We start from the raw sequence: 21,364 nt of genomic DNA, 5'->3' as shown, positions 1-21,364 counted from the left end.
AAATTCAGTAACTGTATTAGTCTGTTCTCACACTGCTAATAAAGACATACCCAAGACTGAGTATGTTATACAGGAAAGAGGTTTAATTGACTTACAGCTCAGCATGGCTGGGGAAGCCTCAGGAAACTTACAATCATGGCAGAAGGGAAAGCAAACACATCCTTCACATGGTGGCAGGAAGGAGAAATGCCTACCAAAAGGGGAAAAGCCCCTTATAACACCATCAGATCTCATGAGAACTCATTCAGTATCACGAGAACAGCATGGAGGTAACCACGCCCATGAATAAATTACCGCCTACTGGGTCCCTCCCACCACGTGTGGGGATTATGGGAACCATAATTCAAGATGAGATTTGGGTGGGGACACAGCCAAACCATATCAGTAACCTTTCATTTTCTCATCTGTAAAATGGGGGTAATAATAGCTACCTAGCAATGTTACCATGAAGACTAAATGAGAAAATATTTGTGAAATGCCTGACACAAAATAGTGTTCACTAACTAGTAGGCATTATTAGAATAAGGTATAAATTCCCATTGTGTACATTGTGTACATATGGTCCCTTTGAATGACAAGGAGAAACTCACAATGACAGGGCTGTGTTGGGCACTGCCTGGATCTCCCTGGGTGTTTAGTGGAAATACTACCCTTGGGGGTGAGATTTTTCTGCAGCTATCTTCATGGTTCAGGAGAGAGAGAGTCCTTCTTGTCCTTCATGAAGTTTTATGGTGACTTCTGTGCCAATTCAAGAGGAGCTTCTGAATCCGTTTGGACAAAGACAACACATGAACCACTGTGGGGCCTCAATTCCCTGCTGAAAGACTGTGTTCGTTCATTCAGCAAATACACATCTGAGCACCTACTCCATGTCAGACACTATTCTAGGTGCTGGGGATACAGCAGTGAACAAATAAAATCCTGTCCTCATGGAGCTTACATTCCAGCAGACCCTAACAATTCACAGGAAAGTGGTGACAGGGCTGATGTCAGGCTCTGAGGCCCTTCTGTTCAGAAGGCTCTTCCCTTACATTGCCCCAGCCCCTTTCTCTTTTTCCTTCCCACAGCCTCGGCTCTGTTCCCTCCTCCATTCTTATAATTCTCCTTTTATAAGCCACTCTCCATTTAACTGGTGGATTTAAAGCAAATAGCAATTGTGTTAAGAAGCAGGAAATATGATACTTTACACAATGATGGAGAAATCAGAAAAATTAAGGCTTGTATAAATCTCTTCTCTAAATTGTGCCCATAGGCCAATTAATTAAGCTGCTTTTGCCTTGTGTCTGTTGCAGCTGATACATTTCTTTCTGAAAATGGCTGGCCTGCATTAGAAGGGCCCTCCCCACTCCCAGAGCTCAGGTTTGGGTGTGTCTTTTAGAGTAAACATAGCACCCCTGACCCCACCTCCTTTATCACTTGGCTCTGGCTGTGAAAAGAAAGAGAAAAAAAGTAGGTTTGTTTAGTGTGAACTCTTTTTCTGAAGCCAACAGGGAGAACAAGATTTGAAACAAGAGGAGACTGAGTTGGGTTCAATGGTTAACCAGTCAGATTAATGAATGCTAGAAGGAGGAAATAGCCAGTAAGTAAAGAGGCAAGAAAAAATGTCTCCCCGTGGTTCAAAAGCCAACTAAAGTTTACCAAGAGCTGTGACCTGTGGTTAAAATGTCCTCAGAGGCCAGCTCTCATCTGATTTCAACCTGAAGCCCCATTTCCTATCAAGAGAGCCATTTGGCTCCTCTCTTAAGCTCAGCAGCCCTGAGGTGTGGTAGCCTCACGCTGACCCATACAGAATGCAACAGAACTGTCCCTGCTGCAGAAGTCTCAGGGTTCTGCCCCAACTGCATAGACTTCTTTCATGGAACCGGCTCCTCTATCCCCACAAGGCTTCTCCCCAGCACAGCTTCTACCTAGAATCAGACGGAGAGCTTTAGACCAGGTAAGAACTCTGGGCCAATGTAAATCAGGAGCGCCAGGCTGTCCCAGCCTCTGCCCTGACTTGCTCTATGAGTTTGGCAAATTCCTTAATCTGCCCATGCCTCTCTTTCTGTGTTGTTAACATGATGATGTTGGCCTAGAGCAGGGGCTGGCAAACTTTTTATGTAAAGAGACAAATATAATATTTTAGGCTTGTAGACCACATGGTCAGTATCTCTCTCAACTATCCAAAGCCACCACTGTAGCATGAAAGCAGCCACAGATGGGTTGTAAATGGAGGGGCGTGGTTGTATTCCAATAAAACTTTATTTACAAAGACAAGTGGTGAACAAGATTGGCCAGTGGACTGTATTTTGCCAACTCCTGGACTAAATCTCTAAGGATCTTTGCAACACTGAAATACCGTACTACCTGGATTGTTTTACAGAGAGAAAACGGAGGCGTGGTGACACCAAGTGACATGCTCCAAGCCGCTGAACATGTTGGTGGCAGAGCTAGAACTCGACACCAAGTCTCCTGGCTTTAGTCCACTGTGGCTCTCAATCCTCGCACACGCAGAGCACAGACCGTTTTTGGTACACGAGGCTTACCCTGGGAACTGCCCTCCCTCTGTGGCTTGGCGAGGGGGGTCGGGGGAAAGGGTAGGGAGGATGTGAGGGGTGGGGAGCAGTGCTCTCTCTGCCTGTTTCAGGAAGGCTCTCTGGTTTGGTGAGAGCCCACACTTTGTTAAGTGAGATAAGGGACACTACAAGAAAAGGAGGGGGTGGGTGGGCAGAGGACATCACGCTGCTTATTTTGAACCTGGGAAAACTGTGCCTTAGGAGAGGGAAGTCCTGCATATTTCATGCTGTGACTTCTTGCTTCCAAACTGCGTATGCTGGCCTCCTTTTCACCCAGATGGTGCTGCAGGGAACAAGGCCCCACCAGTGTGTGCTCTTCCTGTGTGTCCAAATTTCCACCAAAGAGGGCTCCTCCCAGGAGATTGGCTGCCGAACCTGTTCTTCCACGGCAGAAGCGGCGCAGCTAGCCCAGCACGACTCTGCTTATTGTTACGCTTCTGCCACATGTGTGTAAATTTGTAAGGAACTTGCCGCTCCTGGCTGAAGACCCAGGGAGCTTTTGCGCTGTTAATCTGTTTTCCTTTTTGCCCTCAGCCTTTGCTCTTCAGGGGAGAGGCCGTCGATAAGGTCCAATGGGGTGGGGTGACACCTCTTGGGCTCAGAATCTCAAGGGTCCCAAGGTCCAGTCAGTGAGAGCCTTCTGTCTACATGCCACCCTGTCCCCTCTGTGTGGAGCCCTCAGCAGGACCCTGGCCACAGGGCTCTGGAGCAATAATATTACCCCATGACAACTGTCGTGACTGCTACCTCAAAAAGTAAGACAGTCCTGCCATCTACGTTCATGGAGCTCCGAGGAGCAGCTCAGTTCTGTTTGTTGTGACAGGATTTTATAGCAAAATTTGCATGAAAGACATGAAGCTCAGCAATTGGTTTGCGACAGAGGCGTTTTCTTGCCAAATGAGGAAGTGAGATGATCAGAACTGGCTTTAGCATGAGCCTGGATTGGGGAACTCAGCTGGTTCTGGGCTCATACAACTTCACCTGTGAAGGTATATGGAATTCATGGTCAGCCCACATCTTCTAGCTGCAGGTTCAGTTCAGGGTGATCCCTACCTGGAGTTCTAGACTACCAGGCCAGTTTTGGAGGGTCCCGAAGGTATGAATAAGTGGTCCTGCAAACCCCAGCCCACCCTCACATATCCTAAAAGAAACTATGGCAGTTGGAGCCTGAGTTTTCTGGGTGACTGCTTCTCTATCTTTGTCTCTCTCTCTCGCCCACACCCGCCATTACTGCCAAACTCAGTTGCAAGGATTCCTGACCTATTTTTGCTCTCTAGCCTCTGCCTTTGCTGACAATGTCAGCCTCTGCTTTGAAAGCCCTTCCCTCTCTGGGCTGCTTCCATTAGTCCTTCAGCTTCCGAATCTTATGGCTCTCACCATCCCTTTCCTTGTGTTTCTGTTATTCATATCCCAAAGCCCTTCCAAATAGTGATATTCTCCAGGGCAAGGATCCTCTCCAATTTATTATCATATCCCTGGATCCTCCTATGACCTTTGGCATAGCTGTTGGAGGAGTGAGCAGATGAGTGAGTAAGTAACTGATCTTCTCCTCACCCATCCTCAGAGGAAGACCACGGGACAGGTGTGAGTGGTGCCTCCCAAAGATACTCCAAATACCAACCCCTAGCACCTGTGGATGTGACTTTATTTGGAAATTGGGTCTTGGCAGATGTCATTAAGTTAAAGATCTTGAGATGAGATCATCCTGAATTTAGAGTGGGCCTTAAATCCTGATAAAGAGACAGAAAAAGAGAAGACACAGAGACATACACAGGAGAGAGCCATGTGAAGCCAGAGGCAGAGATTGGAAAGATTTATCTATAAGAAAAGCCAAGAACTGCCAGAAGCTAGGAGAGAGGCATGGGATAAATTTTCCCATTCCTCACACCATTCACAAAAATTAACTTAAAATGGATCAAAGACTCAAATGTAAAGCTAAAATTATGAAAACCCCTAAAAGAAAAGATGGGATAAATCTTAATGACCTAGCATTAGGCAATGGTTTCTTAGATATGACTCCAAAAGCATGAGCAACAAAAGAAAAAATAGTTAAGTTGGATTTCATTGATACTAAAAATATTTGTATTTCTAAGAACACCACCAAGAAAGTATAAAAGACAGCCAAAAGAATGGGAGAAAAATTTTGCAAACCATATATCTGATAAGGGGTTTGTATCTAGAATATATAAATAACTCTTAAAACTCAATACTAAAAAGACAATGAACACAATCTGAAAACGGTCAAAAGACTAGGTGCAGTGGCTCACACCTGTAATCCCAGCCCTTTGGGAGGCTGAGGCGGGAGAACTGCTTAAGCCCAGGAGTCCTCATCAATTTCTTTTTGGGCAGGAATGTTGTTGCATGCCTATAGTTCCAGTTACCCTGAAGGCTAAGGTAGGAGGATGGCTTGAGCCTAGGTGTTTGAGGTTACAGTGAGCTATGATTGTACCATTGCTCTCCAGCCTGAGCAACAGAGAGACACTTGTTCTCTCTTTTTTTTTTAAATAAAGGCAAAAGATCTGAAAGCTATTTCTCCATAAGACTATATACAATGATCAATAAACACATAAAAAGATGAGTCATTAGCTATCAGGGAAATGCAAATAAAAACCACAATGAAATTATATAACACTAGATGGCTGTCATAAAAAAGACAAATAATAAAAATTGTTGGTGAGGGTGTGGAGAAATCAGAATTCTCATACGCTGCTGGTGGAAATGTAAAATAGTGGAGAGACTCTGGAAAACAGTCTGGCAATTCCTCAAAAGGTTAAACATAGAGTTACCACATAAGCCCATTCTATTCCATTTCTAGGTATATAACCAAGAGAAATGAAAACATACACCCATGCAAAAATTTGTGCCAAAAGTTCATAGTAACATTATTCATAATAGCCAAAAAGCGCAAACAACCCAAATGTCCCAAATGTCTATCAAGTGATGAATGGATTAAAAATTGTGTTATACCCAAACACCAGACTATTACTCAGCCATACGAAGGAGGTGCGCACTCACGTTACAACACAAATAAACCTTGAAAATATTATACTAAGTGAAAGAAGCTGGTTACCAAAAAAACCCCCACATATTATATGATTCGATTTATATGAAATGTCCAGAATAGGCAAATCCATACAAGCACAAAGTAGATTCTTGGTTTCCCAGGGCTGGAGATGGAGGAGATGAGGGAAGTTAAGGGGTGACAGCTGAAAGGGTGACAGCTAAAAGGGATGGAGGTTTCTCTGAGAGGCTGGGGAAGATGTTTGAAATTGTACTGTGGCAATGGTTGGTGGCACAGCTCTGTGAATATAGTAAAAGCCACTGAGTGGTACAATTGAAACCAGTGAATTGTGTGGTATGTGAATTATATTTCAATAAAAAAAGTACATATCTAATTGATATAAAAAGACTGGACTGGAAACACATTTGCCAAAATGTGTGGTGGGTTATAGGTGGTATTTATTTTCCACTTCATGTTTTTCTCTAGTAACCAAATTTTCTCCACTTCACATGGTTTATAGATTCTTCTCATAATCATAAAAATTACTAATATAAAAATTAATAAGTAAAAGACTAGATGGTTCCCTTCCCTTCTCTTCCCTTTCCTTTCCTCTAGTGGAAGATTAATTACTTAAATGGCACGTCAATTGTACTGAAGTGTAATTAAAAATGCAGATACATCTTAAAAGCAGAGATATCTTCATCAAGGAAACATTCTTTCTTTTTTAAAATTTTATTTTATTTTAAGTTCTGGGACACATGTGCAGAACGTGCAGGTTTGTTACACAGGTAAACGTGTGCCATGGTGGTTTGCCGCACCTACCAACCCATCACCTAGGCATGAAGCCCCGCATGCAGTAACTATTTATCCTGATGTTTTCCCTCCCTACTCCCCACAGGCCCTGGTGTGTGTTGTTCCCTTCCCTCTGTCCATGTGTTCTCATTGTTCAGCTCCCACTTATGAGTGAGAACATGCAGTGTTTGGTTTTCTGTTCCTGTGTTAGTTTGCTGCGAATGATCGCTTCCAGCTTCATGTCCCTGCAAAGGACATGGCCTCATTCCTTTTTATGGCTACATAGTATTTCATGGTATATGTACCACATTTTCTTTATCCAGTCTATCATTGTTGGGCATTTGGGTTGATTCCATGTCTTTGCTATTACAAATAGTATGGCAATAAACATATGTGCGCATGTATCTTTATAATAGAATGATTTATATTACTTTGGGTATATACCCAGTAATGGAATTGCTGGGTCAAATGATATTTCTGGTTCTAGATCCTTGAGGAATCATCACACTGTCTTCCACAATGGTTGAACTGATTTACATTCCCACCAACAGTGTAAAAGCGTTCCTATTTCTCCACAGCCTTGCCAGCATCTGTTGTTTCTTGACTTTTTAACAGTTGCCATACTGACTGGCGTGAGATGGTACCTCATTGTGGTTTTGATTTGCATTTCTCTAATGATCACTGATGTTGAGCTTTTTTTCATATGCTTGTTGGCTACATAAATGTTTTATTTTGAGAAGTCTCTGTTCATGTCCTTGGCCCACCTTTTGATGGGGTTGTTTTTTCTTGTAAATTTGTTTAAGTTCCTTGTAGATTCTGGATATTACACCTTTGTCAGATGGGTAGATTGCAAAAATTTTCTTTCATTCTGTAGGTTTCCTGTTCACTCTTGATGATAGTTTCTTTTGCTGTACAGAAGCGCTTTAGTTTAATTAGATGCCATTTGTCAATTTTTGCTTTTTTTGCAATTGCTTTTGGCAATTTCATCATAAAATCTTTGCCCATGCCTATGTCCTGAATGGTACTGCCTGGATTTTCTTCTAGGGTTTTTATGGTTTTGGGTTTTACATTTAAGTCTTTAATCCATCTTGAGTTAATTTTTGTATAAGGTATAAGGAAGGGGTCCAGTTTCAGTTTACTGAATATGGCTGGCCAGTTTTCCCAGCACCATTTATGAAATAGAGAATCCTTTCCCCATTGTTTGTCTTTGTCAGGTTTGCCAAAGATGAGATGGTTGTAGATGTGTGGTCTTATATCTGAGATCTCTACTCTGTTCTATTGGTCTATGTGTCAAAACAGACCTTTTCTACACAGCATCCTTGACAAAAAGGTCCAGCCTCCACTGCCACCGCCCCACCCCGCCCCCACAGTGACAGGAGCAAGCTCACTTCATCCCTCAGCACCATGTTCCTGAGGACTAGCTCTGAAGCTTCTGTCTTGTGTTGAGTTGAAATAGTTCTCCCTAAAGCTCTCCTTGTGGGTCCAGTATTGCCTTCTGAAGCCACACAGAAGCATCCTGTTTCCCTTCCATACAATAGCCCTTTAGGTATCTGTAGATAAGCGGGCAACTCCTGGAGACTTCCCTGCTTCAGAAGAAATACTTGCAGCGCCTTCTATCATTCCTTGCATGATATATGTGTCAGCAAGACCTGAGTTGCAAGCAGTAGAAACCCATGCTAGCTGACTCAGGTAGAAAAGACATTTCGTTAGAAGGAAATGGGAGTGGTCACAGGATTGGCAGAACAGTTGGAAATCCAGCTGGAGAAATAGACAGGAACAAGCCAGAAGCACACTGAAACCTATCCAAAAGCATCCCAGGAGGGCACACTGAGTGCCGCATGGAGCCTGCACCACCATGGGGAGGAAGCAGCCACCGCCTTCCTGAATCGTAAGTCTCAATCAACCATGCAACGGTGGGAGCAGCAGCTATTTCTCAAGAACTTATTGGGGAAAATAGGTAATAGAATTTATCTGGATACCAATTTGCCTGTTAGGTCAGCTTGACTTTCTCTAAAGCCTCAGGCATAGAGTTATCACGGACTGAGTGTTTGTACGTCTCTCAAACTCATGCGGAAGCCCAAACCTCCGGTGTGCCTGTCTTTGGAGACAGGGCTTGTGAGGAGGTGGTGATAAAGGTTAAATGAGGTTGGAAGGCTAGGGCCCTAATCTGATAGGGCTGGGGCCCTTATAAGGTGAAGAAGAGATAGCAGAGCTCTCTTTCTTCCCAGTCGGGATACAGTAAGAAGGCTGCCGGCTACAAGCCGGGAAGGAAGGCTTCACTCATTACCAAATTGACCAGCACCTTGATCTTGGATATCTCAGGCTTCAGAACTGTGAGCAATAAATTTCTGTTTTTTAAGCCACCTGCTCTGTGGTGTTTTGTTAGGTCAACCCAAGCTAACTAATATAAATGGGTTGGCTATCATTATGTGTTTCCAACCATCCAAAATTTCCACAAAGCACAGTAGCCCTTTGAGAGACATGAGACCTAGTCATGACCCAGGGTTTTCTCATTCAAGCACTGGAGTTGTACTCACAGTGGTGCTGTTGATGTAGTTTATTCTAGGGAGCATCACATGAAGCAGAGAAAGGATCATTCAAGGAACCACGGGATTTTTGTAGGATTTTAGGAACCCTCTAGGTGCTACCCCCAGTCCTGAAAGGAGCACCAGGCAGACTATGCACAGGTTGCTTGGGAAGATTTTTTTTTTTTTTTTTTTTTAGACACGGGTTTCACTCTTGTTTCCCGGGCTGGAGTGCAATGGCACGATCTCAGCTCACTGCAACCTCCGCCTCCCGGGTTCAAGCGATTCTCCTGTCTCAGCCTCCCGAGTAGCTGGGACTACAGGCATGTGCCAACATACCTGACTAATTTTTTGTTTGTTTTTTTGTTTTTGTATTTTTAGAAGAGACGGGGTTTCTCTGTGTTGGTTAGGCTGGTCTTGAACTCCTGACCTCAGGCGATCCGCCCTCTTCGGCCTCCCAAAGTGCTTGGGTTACAGGCATAAGCCACTGCGCCCAGCTGGGAAGCTTGTTAAAAATATAGATTGAAAGCTCTACCCTCTGAGAGTCTACTTTTGTCAGCCTGGGAGAGGACCCAGTGTATTTTGAACAGGTGCTCCAGGAGACAGGATTAGGCAGAATCCAGATTGGGAATCCTACTCTGGACAAGCCTCTCATCCGCAGATGGGAAAACAGGCTAAAGTTGAAGACCCTGGGTCCAAGGTCACCGACTGCCAGGTCAGACTAGACCAGCACTTGGGTCTCCTCATCTCTGGGGTATTGGTCTCTGTCTTCACCGCACTGACAAGTCCTCTGTATGGGAAAGAGTCTTTATTGGAGACTCCAGACGGTGCCTGGAGAGGGACACAGAACTCTGCCATGAGAGAGGTGGTGGGGGCAGTGGAGTTCTGACTGGGAGAAACTGTACAGTCTCCCAGTAACAGTTAACTTAGAGCTGGGCCTTACAAGAGGGTGGGCAGGATTCCTTAGAATAAGTAGGTTATTGGGAATTTAATAAGCAGATGGGGGTGGAAGAGGATTCCAGGTGGAGACAACAGCTTGAGCAGAATCCTGGCTGGTGGTGGGACTTTGTAGGCAGAGTGAGAAAAGATGGCAGCCCCATGTGGCTGCCGCAGGCCTCGTCCGGGACACTGAAGCACGGCAGGTGCACTTGGAGTTGAGGCTTGAATGGCAGGTTGGGGCTGAAATTCTGTTGTAAACCCTAAAGCCTCAACAACACCCCTGGGCACATAGAGATGCTCGATGAATACCTCATAAAGCCATTTGATAGCTCGCTCCAATTTTAAGAAGCAAAGAATGAGTTGAGATGTTTGTAAATCATCAGAGAGAGATGGCTCCTTATGACTCATGGCACCCAATTTGGAGTAAGGAGAATCTGCCTCAGAGGAAAAAAACTGTGTACCCCAAAATCCTACCAAGAAAGAGGTTCCCTCTGCTCACATTTCCACTGAGCTCTTCCAGCACCCTGGCATCTATATTTTTTGGCTCCTGGTGCCTTTTTTTTTCTTTTTTTTGAGACGGAGTCTTGCTCTGTCACCCAGGCTGGAGTGCAGTGGCATGATCTTAGCTCACTGCAACCTCCATCTCCTGGGTCCAAAAGTGATTCCCCTGCCTCAGCCTCCCGAGCTGTTGGACCACAGGCATGCACCACCATGCCTGGCTAATTTTTTTGTATTTTAGTAGAGATGGGGTTTCACCATGTTGGCCAGGCTGGTCTCGAACTCCTGACCTCGTGATCCGGCTGCCTTAGCCTCCCAAAGTGCTGGGATTATAGGTGTGAGACACCTCACCGGCCTTGCTCCTGGTGCTTTTAATGCACGCGAAGGAGAGGTCAAAAAAACACAAGGTGGAAGTGGGACTTTCCTGGGTGATTCAGAGCAGTGGTTGCAGGTTTGACTGTGCTGGGAGTCAGGTGAATAGAGCATGCTCTACCCCCTCTTATCAGCAATCAGCCATCATGATACAGGCTTTTCCTGAGGGCACAGGCAGATGCCAAGTAGGCACAGAGTCAGATAAGTGCAGTCCCAGTTCATGCCAGAGGCTGTCCCAGGCCCCACCCGCGACCTCACACCACCTCTTGCACACTGCTCTTGGGTCCCAGGAAGGAGTGTGGCCTCTTTTTAAGGTGACCGTCTCAGGCAGCTTGCACTCTTGTGCATGTAATATGAGGTGGTTGCTGTGTTAGGGTCCTGGAGGATATCAGGAAGGGAAGAGGTGCTGAGAGATGCTTAAAAACCTTTCACTCTGAAAGGTGGGATGGGCTGCTGCACAGACACATACTGAGTGGGGTGGGATTGCCTGGGGGTGCAGGAGATGCAAGGGACCGTTCTAAGGAAGCTCCCAGGTTCCAAAGGAGCAGCAGTGCTTTCCTGGCTGGGTTGCTGAGAAGGCATTAGGGCAGGGTAGCTTTTGAGTTGGAACTTGAAGATGGAGATTTGGAAGTGACCGATGGGAAGAAGCAAGGGAATGGCCTGAAGAAAGGGAGAGAGAATGAACATTCCAGGCCTAACCACCAGTCCTCGGCCCCAGTTCTTCTGCCTCCTGCAGGGACATGAGGCAGAGCCTCTCTGAGCATCCGCACTGTTCAGATCACAGTTCTAGGCGCTGACCTGTTTATAAACTGAGTAGTGGCTAGACCCTGCCTTGTAGGAGCTCAAACACTTAGGTACACCAGGATAGCTCTGATTGAAACCAGACTGGTATTTTTCTCTGAAGGGCCCTGTTCCTCACCTGGTCAGTCTTGCCTCTCATGATCCCACACCCATGAGTCCTCCCCTCATGCAATCGACTCCCCTAGCCCTGTAGAAAGCTGTGCTTTCCTTGCCTCATGGCGCTAGCTTCTGCTGTTGCCTGCATCTAGAGTGCCCTTCCTGCCATGTGTGACGGTCCACATCTGCCCATGAGGCCTGAGTCCAGTCCCGCCTTCACTATGACATGACCATGCCGATCTTCATCCCTCCCCAGCCCACCAGGCAGAAACATCTCTCCCGTCTTTGAACTTCACCACGCCGTGCATCTTCCTCTGGGTGTGCAATCGTCACCTGCGTACATGATTGATTCTGCCCCCAACACTAGACTGTGAGTACCCTTTGCGGGCAGAGCTATGTGTCCTTATCACCAGAGTCTTGCACAGCACTTAATAGATGCTCAGGAAACATCTTTGTCAGCATAGTATAGCTGGATGTAGAAATCTCTGAAAACATAGAGGCCAGAGTTCATCAGAAAGCGTTAGAAGGACTTCACAAGGTTCACTGGAAAGAAGTAAAGCTTAGAGATCTGTGGAAGGAGGCAAAGGGCCATTTGAAAGCAGAGAACAGGTGAGGGGCTGTGCATTAGGAGTGGAAGAGCCCATTGGAGGCCTGCGGACTTGGAACGAAAGGGTCTTTCACTACATATCCCATCCACCCACCTGGGAAGCCCTTCTCCCTGCCCCCAACCCAGACACATGTCCCAGTTGGATGCTGGACAGAGGCTTTGAATATGAGGCAGAAAAACTTTGGCTCAGAATAGGAAGGCCCTGCTGGCTCCTGGAAAGGTTTCTAGCAGGATAAAAACTATTTTTAAAAGGTAGCCTGGATCATGTCACTCTTTCACTTAAAGTGCTTCAGAAGTTTCTCATTTCTCTTAGCAGGCAGAAAGAACTCAAAGCTCAGATGGTCAGGGTCCTGTTGGTTCATCAAGCTCAGCCTGCCTGGAGGCAGCCACTGTGTTGTTCCCTCTCTTCGTCCTCCCTCTGCACTCTCTCTTGCCACGGGACATTTGCACAAGCAGTTCCCTCTAACTGGAACACTAAGAAATATGGAAGTAAAAGGGGTTGGGAGAAAAGACAGGAGTCACAGGTGACTGTGTGGGATGAGGAGAGTCGTGAAAACTTTTTTTTTTTTTTTTTGAGATGGAGTCTCGCTTTGTCACCCAGGCTGGAGTGCCAGTGGTGCCAATCTCGGCTCACCGCAACTTCCACCTCCCAGGTTCAAGCAGTTCTCCTGCCTCAGCCTCCTGAGTAGCTGGGATTACAGTTGCCTGCCACCACGCCTGGCTAATATTTGTATTCTTAGTAGAGAAGAGGTTTCACCATGTTGGCCAGGCTGGTCTCAAACTCCTGACCTCAGGTGATCCACCTGCCTCAGCCTCCCAAAGTGCTGGGATTACAGGCATGAGCCACTGCACCCGGCCGAAAACATTAAGAGTAGGTGGATGTTACTTTGGACACCAAATGAAGAAGTGTGCCGAGCTGAAAGAGAAAAGGAGAAGAAAATGGACATGACATTTACGGGGTTCCTCTTGCAGAGAGAGAACCGTGTAGAAGGTAAGCTCTCACTACTGAGTTCAAGTCCCAGACATAATACTTGCTGGCTGTGTGGCCTTGGGAAGGCCCATGAGCACTCTCAGTGAAAGTGAAACTGGGAAGTTTCTGCTTTGGAGAGATTTTCTCACAAATGAGATGAGTTATCATATACCAAGCCCTTAGAGCACGGCCTGGCTCACAGGAAGCCAACAGTAAGTGTGGGTCATTATCAGCGCTGTTGTTAACTGGGGGTAATAACAGGGGCCAGGGGCCAAGAGGCTTTATCTAGCCCTATTTCAGAGGCAAAGAAATGAGGGTGAAAAAGTTCAGGGGCCTGCCTGCAGTCACACAGCAGAGCCAGATATGAACATCGACGTTTTGGCTTTCAAGGTCCACACCCGCCGTATCCTACTGCACGGTGCTGGAAGGCACATGGAAGACTATTGCAGCCCAATCTTCTCATGACAAAGACAGGAAAATGGAGCCCTCTAAGAGAAAGTGACTGATCCACCCTTATGCTCTTAAATGGTAAGCGTCCAGGGATCATCCAAGTTAAGATGGCCCACACGCAGCTGGCAAGGCAGGACCCGAGGCTGAATGAGACGTACAATTGGCTCCACGGTACTGGCAGAACCCACAGCTAGTTTTCAATGCTGAGAACTGTCCATCCTGGCAGAGGCTCACTGCCCTCTGTGCCCTCCCTGGTTGCCTGGGCAGATGGTGAGCTCTGGTTGCCAAGGAGCCCGCGTTGGCAGTTCTGAAATGGGGTGCGTCAGCAGCCTCGCTCCAGCGGCTTCCCACATCCTTGAGTAACCACCACACAAAGGTGCTGGGCATGAGACCAAGGGTGCGGCGGAGATCGAATTAGTAATACACACTCGGTGACCCTCCCCAGCCAGGTTTCACTGCGTGCTTATGACCAACATTCATCCCTTCCTTAGCATCTGTGGTGTCTTTAAGGGCCAAGTAAAAAGGTAAAACTGCAGGGAGTCAGGAGGGGGAAACTGGCCTGGGGTACAGAGTCCCTCACAATGAAAATATATGTAACTGGCTACTTGTAGGTCATGATGCATTAAGTGATCCTGTCAAAAGTTGAAAGTGGGCTACAGTGGGACAGGCAATGCCCAGAGGGAGGCAGAAAGGTGTAAATAATCCGAGGTGAATGTGGGTCTTGTTGGCATGGTAGATTTATGCCCTGCCTTCATAATGTACCCTTTCATCTTGGGAGCCTGGATTCCAAAAATCTAGTCTAGACAGGAATTGATGGTGCTACCTCTCAGCTTACATCGTTCAAGGTTTCTCAACACCAAAGACTCCTGAATATTGATGGGAACAACCCACTTAGCCAGGGGATATTGCTCAGAACTCAGGAGGCCAAAGGCATCATTCTTCCAGGCACGGAGGCCCTGCTCAGAAACAGCCCTACAGAGGCAGAGTCACTCATTCTGGGGGATGACGCTGCCTTTTGTCTTCATCTCCCCAAGTGGGAGACAAGTCCCATCACGCCTGCCACCTGGCAGTCAGCCTTGCGCCTTCTCTTTCGTCCTTTTCATGTGTGCTCCGTGCCGGTTTCAGCAGCTTTCATCAGAGACTGAAACTACCACCACTCCCATCACCTCCCAGGGCCATGGGCAGGCCCTGGCTGACAGATCCAGGCCTAGGAGCCTGGGCAACGATAAATAGGTGGTTGGGAGGACCTCTCCGAGCCCCCTTCTCTGCCCAGGCAGGCTTTCTCCTTGGGTGGCCAGAGCCAGGGCCCAGGATCCCCTGCTGCAAGAACTGAGAGGCTGAGGGGCTTCACTCCTGAGGAAGGTCCTCTCTTCCTAATCCCCGTGCTTTGGGCCCAGCAAATTCAGCCTGGGAACTGGGGGCTGCTGTGGAAGAGAGATGGAGCTAGGGAGCATTTATAGTGCAGCACCTGAGGCTGAGCAGTGACAGAGCTGCGGGCCTGAGAATTACAAAACAGACTTAAACAGATGAAATATTGCCCAGGCATGGTGGCTCTTGCCTGTAATCCTAGCACTTTGGGAGGCCGAGGCAGGCGGATCACTTGAGGTCAGGAGTTTGAGACCAGCCTGGCCAACATGGTGAAACCCCATCTCTACTAAATATTAGCTGGGTGTGGTGGTGGGCACCTGTAATCCCAGCTACTTGGGAGGCTGAGGCAGGAGAATTGCTTGAACCCGGGTGGCAGAGGTTGCAGTGATCTGAGATCGTGCCACTGCACTCCAGCCTGGGTGACAGAGCCAGACTCTGTCTAAAAAAAAAAAAACAAAACAAAACAACAACAACAACAAAAACCCATGAAATATTAACTGATGCAGGGAAAACAGACAAAAACTATACATGCTCAAAACAAAACGAAAAAGGGCACAGGGCTCAGAAACCAGTTTGTCGTCTTTGTGAACAGCTGGGAACTCTGACTCATGCACTGTCCCCTGTTCTCTATGCCACAGGAATGAGGCAGCAAGAGGCCAGATTCTGCCGGAGACAGAGCAGAGAGCCAAACCATCGCCACTTATTGGTGCATGAACCTGGGCAAGGCAGGGGTATCCCTGAGCCTCAGCTTCCTTGTTTGCAAAATGGTGACATGCCTACTTCCAGAGCTGTTGTTAAGGTTAAATGATGACGCAGTTTACCATATGCCAGGCACATAGTAGGCACTAAATAGTTGCAATTATTAGCCCTGAGCAAACATTGCTCAGCCATTCCCTTGTAAAGCCTATTCTCAAACCAACTTTCCATGTGGACGTTCAATCATCTTTCTGGATGACCTCGCCTTACCCATTGCCTCAGATTCTGTGTGTGTGTGTGTATAGAAGAAACAAAGAAAAAAAGTGCTTTTCACATAGTGAGGACATTTCCCCATCCTATGAGTCTGTGTATGTGTGTGCATATGTATATGTATGTACACACACACACACACACACACACACACACACACACACACTGCCCCGTGGAATAGGCAGGACGGGGTTGCATTTCCCCTCTTTTAAAGGTGAGGATGCTGAGCCTCAGAAAGATCAAGTGACCTGAACAAAGTCACACAGCCAATGTGTTTCTCCAAAAGAAATGACCAGGAGTCAGTGTTTCTTTATACAAGGGTGTCCAATCTTTTGGCTTCTCGGCCACACTGGAAGAAGAAGAATTGTCTTGGGCCACACATAAAGTACACTAGCACTAATGATAGCTGATGAGCTAAAAAAATAAAAATAAAAATCACACACAAAAAACAGTGTTTTAAGAAAGTTTACAAATTTGTATTGGGCTACATTCAAAGCCGTCCTGGGCCATGGGTTGGACAAGCTTGCTCCACCATAAACACGTGATGAACAGACATTGAAATCGTACCTTTAGGGCTGTTTTAGGAACACAAGAGGCATCATCTGGCTATCTTGAGAAAGCAGATTTCAATTTTCTATTCATTAAAGAAATGTGCTTCCATCTACCTTGAAATCATTTTGATGATTTCCAGATTCAAGTCCCTGAATAAATTCCAGGGAAAGTCACGTCACGGGACAGAATGGCCGTCACCTTGAAAAAAAATTATTTTCTCCTGGAGGCACTACTGAGGCTCAGCGATCCCACGTCTGCCACTCCCTCCTACTGCATGTGGTATCCCTGAGTCTCCGCTCAGGGAAAACAGACAAAACTACACATGCTCAAAACAGAACAAAAATGGGAACAGGGCTCAGAAACCAGTTTGTCTGGTTCCAGTCATTTCCACCGCAATGACAGATCCAGTGACCTTGGCAGCCCTCATCCATTCACCACATCTTCCCATTACCACCTAACGTGCCCCTCCCAATAGCTCCGTGTGGTAGAGGCTGCACACAGGCTCAGGATTCCCACTTCACAGGTGATAATGTCAAGGTGCAGTGACATGCAGCTTCTTGTCCCAGGTCAGGTGTCTCATGATTGTTGAGCCACTGTCTTCTGACTCAGCCAGTGATCTTTCCTTTGGACCACAACCCCTCTGAAAAGCACTGTGCTGAGAAACATGGGTTTACTTTACCTATTGCTATTTTGTACGTTTGAAACGATCTTTCCAAAACAGATTTAATAATTGAAAGTTTTGCTCTCTGTTCCTTGGAGAAAAGGGACATGCTTTGAGGAAGGAATTGGAACCCGAACAGTCATGTTTTATAGGCATTCATGTTTATTTCTCTGATATTATGGCTTCCTCTGGAAAAATCCAACCAACACATCCGTTTCAAGTCTTGAGAAACTCCCAAATGTTGACCATGTGTCTGATTCCTGTGTGGTCAAAAGAGTGATGTTTCTTAATGTCCACAACTTATTTCCATGTTAAAATAATTCCACGCTCAGCTAAATCCCACTTACACACAAGTGTGCACCTGTTAAAATAGGTCATTTTTCACTGCTAATCTTCCAGATTCCATGAGTATGTGTGGGAACCCCAGACAAATGCAACTTGAATGTCACAAAAGGCATTTTTCTTTGCTGAGTGACCCTGGTTGGCCCAGACACCCTGGGTGCCTTGCTCCCACAGATTTGTAAAACTAAGGAAGATCCCTTTCTGCTGAGAGAATGGATTGGAATTAAATCTTAGCATAGAAGGCCTTGGGTGAAACTGTATGGAATTTTGTCTTACAACTGGGTTATTTTTTAATTAGATTTTTGTCGATCTTTTTTCAACTCTGAAGTATGTCAGTATGGAAACTCAGTAACTTTTCTCAATGCTCCCCATAAAGCTAAAAATTAAAAAGAAGAGAAGAGAAATAAAAAGGGAAAAAATTAAAATTTCAGAGCAAGAAGCTCTAGCCTCTGAGATTTTGTTACTGTTGCAAAAGTAATAGGTCATCTTTGCCACAACCTCAATGCTAAAAAGTAGATGCACAAAAAAGCAATTTTTATCCCAAAGTCTTCTTGGCGATGAGATTTTTTTTCCTGCTTCAGATTTGGCATGCTTCCAGAAACCCAAGGGCCCTAAATCAATATCAAGTGACCGCTTCCAACTCGTAAGAGCCTCTAGGGCTCATTGCAAATGTGGGCTCTGGGTTCCAGAGAGACAGGCTTAAAGAAATTGATGGCAAAAATGGGAAGCTCTGTGGCTGACCTCAGTTGCAGGATCCGTGCTGGGACAGCCTGTCCTCCGCTCCATGATTTGTGAGGGCCTGCCTGGTATTGCTAATCTTCCTGACAGTTTAGTTTGAAGAGAAAAGGGGCCAGTGGCACTGTAGGCAACATCAGACAAGCCACAGATCTCCTGGGAGATCTAAGCTCTCCAGGAGGCAGATAACAACATTTTGCCTTTCCACGGGGTTGTTAATATACATATGAATCCCAAATACAAGAATGGGCTCTTCAAACTGGTTTATTTAAACACTTTTTCTGAGACACACGTTTCAAGAAGGGGATAAAGAGGGTGTGATGTGGATCCTGTGCTGTCTTCAAAGAAGGGAAGGTGGACTGCTATGTTTCTAGTGTAGAATCTGGCACAGAAACCACCCATAGCAGGTGCGCCACGGACCTGCTTTAGCTGGAAGGATCCTTTCTACATTCCTTCCACCACCTAGTGAGTGGCCACGTTGATGATGAGACCTGGGCCTTTAAAAATCCTCTTTCAGGTCTCCAGCCAACCCTCTCCATTCAACTCAGTTTCACAAACCTTTTCTTAGCAGCCACCCATTCCCAAGGACTGTAGTGGGTGCCGCAGGGGAGACAGAGGTGAAGGAGACACAGTCCTTTCTGCTGATTCTGCGGCTGAGTCAGCTGATAGCCTACGTCTATTTGCCAAGAATATGATCAACTGAGTGAAAACAACAAAATAAAAAACGCTGAGTTGGGGAGATGACTCGACTCGGGAGGATAATGAGAATGTCCAAGCTGTGAGTCCCCTGGAGGCCAAGGCAAGTTTGCAGCTGGCATGGTAACAGCAGGGTGGTTGCTGAGGGAAACTGAAACCATGTCACATGGAAAAGATTTGTAGGAGTGGAGGGCCTTTGGCCTGGAGAAGAAAAGCCTTGGAGAACAGAAAGGCTGGTTTCACATACCTGAGAGACTGCCATGGGGAAGACCCATACTTTGTTCTCTGGGGCCCCAGAGGGGGCCCACCATAGAACAGGACTATGGTGGGGATACGTAGGGGGACCGATTGCAGCTCGAAATTGCGAAGTCCTGTCCTTGTCAGAGCTGTCCCAGGTGGAGTGGGATGTACCAGGAGGTGGTGAGTTCCTGTCATTGCAGGGATTTCAGTCGGGGTGGAGAGCCCACTAAACAAAGACGCTGTGGAGAAGAACCAAGCATGGAGGAGGGTGGAGGGCCTGATCTTCTAAGCTTCACTCTCTGCCTGGGAGTCTTCGATTCCTCCCTCCTCTTACTATAACTTAATGAGCTGCTAACGCCAACACCTGGCTTCTTATTCAAACATGCTTAAATGTGAACGGGGAAGACTGGCATCAGAGGTGGGCAGATTAACAACAAACTCCCTCAGGGGTCTCCAAAATGAGAGAGAAGGGACAAAGGCAGAATCGTTCTGCGTGCCTGCAAGTTGGATTTGGAGTCTCCACACTGTGCCTCTGGCCGTTGAACAGAAGAGGGGTCTCTTTGCTGTGTCTTTAGCAAGGTGACAAGCAAGAGAGCTGGGTAGCACAGCCTGGGGCTCACAGGCAGCAGATCACCTTCAGCTCCCCAGGCCCCTCTGTCATGGACTCAGGCCACTGCTGGGACTCAGTCACCAGGACAGGGAGAGCCCAGAGGGCACTGCTCCACAGGGTGGGCACAGCAAACAGCCCTTCCCCACACTCCCACTCTTCCCGGCAGAGAGGGTGCCTGCGGTGTGACTCGAGGGAACTCGGCCTATTCATCTCACCCGCTTCTGCCTATCTCTCCACACACACTTTTGTCATTGTTAAAACCATGAGCAGCTTTTTCCTGATATCACAGTCTAGGAAATCGATGCCTCGTTCAGTGAGCCAGCACTTGCTGTGCTCTTGCCACAGGTTGGGACTGTGTGGATGGATGCCCCATTGCTTAGGGAGCACAGAGGAGGGACCTAGCTCGGGCTGGGGCTTTACAGAAGGCTTCCGAGAAGGGATGTCATTGGCCTGACTCTTAAGAGGAAGGAAAAGAAGAGCACCAAGTACAAATGATTAGCACTACTCATCAGCAAATCAGGAGACTGGGCGTGTAGGGAGATGAGGCTGAGGAAGTCACTCTGAACACACACGAGGGGCCTGATTGTCACCTGAAATGCCTGATGTTTTCCTGTTGGTTATGGGAAACAGAGGGATGACATAGATTGATTTATAGAGATTTTTCTGCCTGCATCAAAGGCATCATAAACAAGAGGGTAGGACTAGTGGCAAAGAAACGAGTCAGAATTGTTTAGTCGAGACATGAGAAGACCCTGAGCTAGCTCAGTGGTAGCAGGGTGGAAAGGAAGGGACCAAAAGGAGAAATATTTTGGATTTAAAAATTAACAAGACTGTCCAACAAATAGAAGATACAGAGACAAATGATTCAATAAGGCAAGGGTCAAAAGACTTGAACAGGCACTTCACAAAAGAAGATAATGCCCAATTAAGCACATGAAAGAGTGTTCAACATTAAATATCAGGGAAATGCGAGTTAAAACTACAGTAAGACAGCAGTTCATACCCCTTAGAATGGCTAAAATCAAAACAAATGATCATACCAAGTGCTGGTGGGAATGTGAGGAACCTGGAACTCTCATGCACTGCTGGTGGGAGAGGCCAATGGCAGAAACTCTTTGAAGGACTCTGAGAGTGTCTTATAAGTGTACATCTACCCTATAAGCAAGCAATTCCACTGCTAGGTATTTGCCCAAGAAAACTATGTTTATACAGACTTGTATAAGAAAAATATGTTCCCAATAAAATTGTAAAGAATGTTTATGGCAGTCTTATTCAAATATTGAAGAACTGGCAGCAACCCAGATGTCCACCAGGAAGTACATGGATAAACAACCTATGGTATGTCCATATAATGGAATATCACTAAGCAATAGAAAGGAACAAACTATTTATATATTCAGTGTAACATGGATGACTGGCAAAACCATTATGGGAAGTGAAGGAAACCAGACCCAGAATAGTACACACTGTATGATTCCATTTACATGAAATCCAAATGTAGACAAACGAATATATAATGTTAGACACCAGTTTGTGGGTTTATGTAAGTGTTTTGGGGTGTTAGGTGGGGGGTTGTTGACCAGTTAGA

General features: G+C 46.3%; 2 long non-coding RNA genes across 4 annotated transcripts, besides 4 other annotated features; both read left to right on the top strand.

The window, feature by feature from the left end:
• The first annotated feature begins 1,578 nt into the window (after positions 1-1,578).
• LINC02038 (long intergenic non-protein coding RNA 2038) lies at positions 1,579-4,760 on the top strand. Its single transcript, NR_146718.1, has 3 exons — positions 1,579-1,936; positions 2,363-2,510; positions 2,833-4,760. It is a non-coding gene; the product is annotated as a long intergenic non-protein coding RNA 2038 (long non-coding RNA).
• Positions 2,885-3,068: a silencer, noted in NCBI's record as "fragment chr3:193560309-193560492 (GRCh37/hg19 assembly coordinates)". NCBI's record gives its function as "represses an EF-1alpha promoter that drives an FKBP-Casp9 reporter gene in an ReSE screen in phorbol 12-myristate 13-acetate-treated (for megakaryocytic differentiation) K562 erythroleukemia cells {active_cell/tissue: K562(+PMA)}" and the evidence as "EXISTENCE:reporter gene assay evidence [ECO:0000049][PMID:32094911]".
• A 3,356-nt stretch (positions 4,761-8,116) lies between the features above and the next one.
• LOC105374284 (uncharacterized) lies at positions 8,117-16,389 on the top strand. 3 transcript variants are annotated; one of them, XR_007096291.1, is made up of 5 exons: positions 8,117-8,236; positions 11,836-11,949; positions 12,503-13,177; positions 13,547-13,684; positions 15,613-16,389. It is a non-coding gene; the product is annotated as an uncharacterized LOC105374284 (long non-coding RNA). The 3 variants fall into 3 exon arrangements; XR_924841.3 differs by having other exon boundaries at positions 13,547-16,389; XR_007096290.1 differs by lacking the exon at positions 11,836-11,949 and having other exon boundaries at positions 12,500-13,177; positions 13,547-16,389.
• Positions 10,599-10,658: an enhancer, noted in NCBI's record as "active region_21010". NCBI's record gives its function as "activates an Ori minimal core promoter by ATAC-STARR-seq in GM12878 lymphoblastoid cells {active_cell/tissue: GM12878}" and the evidence as "EXISTENCE:reporter gene assay evidence [ECO:0000049][PMID:35858748]".
• Positions 13,212-13,371: an enhancer, noted in NCBI's record as "active region_21009". NCBI's record gives its function as "activates an Ori minimal core promoter by ATAC-STARR-seq in GM12878 lymphoblastoid cells {active_cell/tissue: GM12878}" and the evidence as "EXISTENCE:reporter gene assay evidence [ECO:0000049][PMID:35858748]".
• Positions 13,392-13,491: an enhancer, noted in NCBI's record as "active region_21008". NCBI's record gives its function as "activates an Ori minimal core promoter by ATAC-STARR-seq in GM12878 lymphoblastoid cells {active_cell/tissue: GM12878}" and the evidence as "EXISTENCE:reporter gene assay evidence [ECO:0000049][PMID:35858748]".
• Positions 16,390-21,364: the final 4,975 nt, after the last annotated feature.

The sequence above is a fragment of the Homo sapiens genome, chromosome 3 (genome assembly GCF_000001405.40).
Source record: "Homo sapiens chromosome 3, GRCh38.p14 Primary Assembly".
In the NCBI taxonomy this organism is placed as follows: Eukaryota; Metazoa; Chordata; class Mammalia; order Primates; family Hominidae; genus Homo; species Homo sapiens.
The sequence above is the reverse complement of the archived record's forward strand: the minus strand, read 5'-3'. Positions and strand labels throughout refer to the sequence as shown.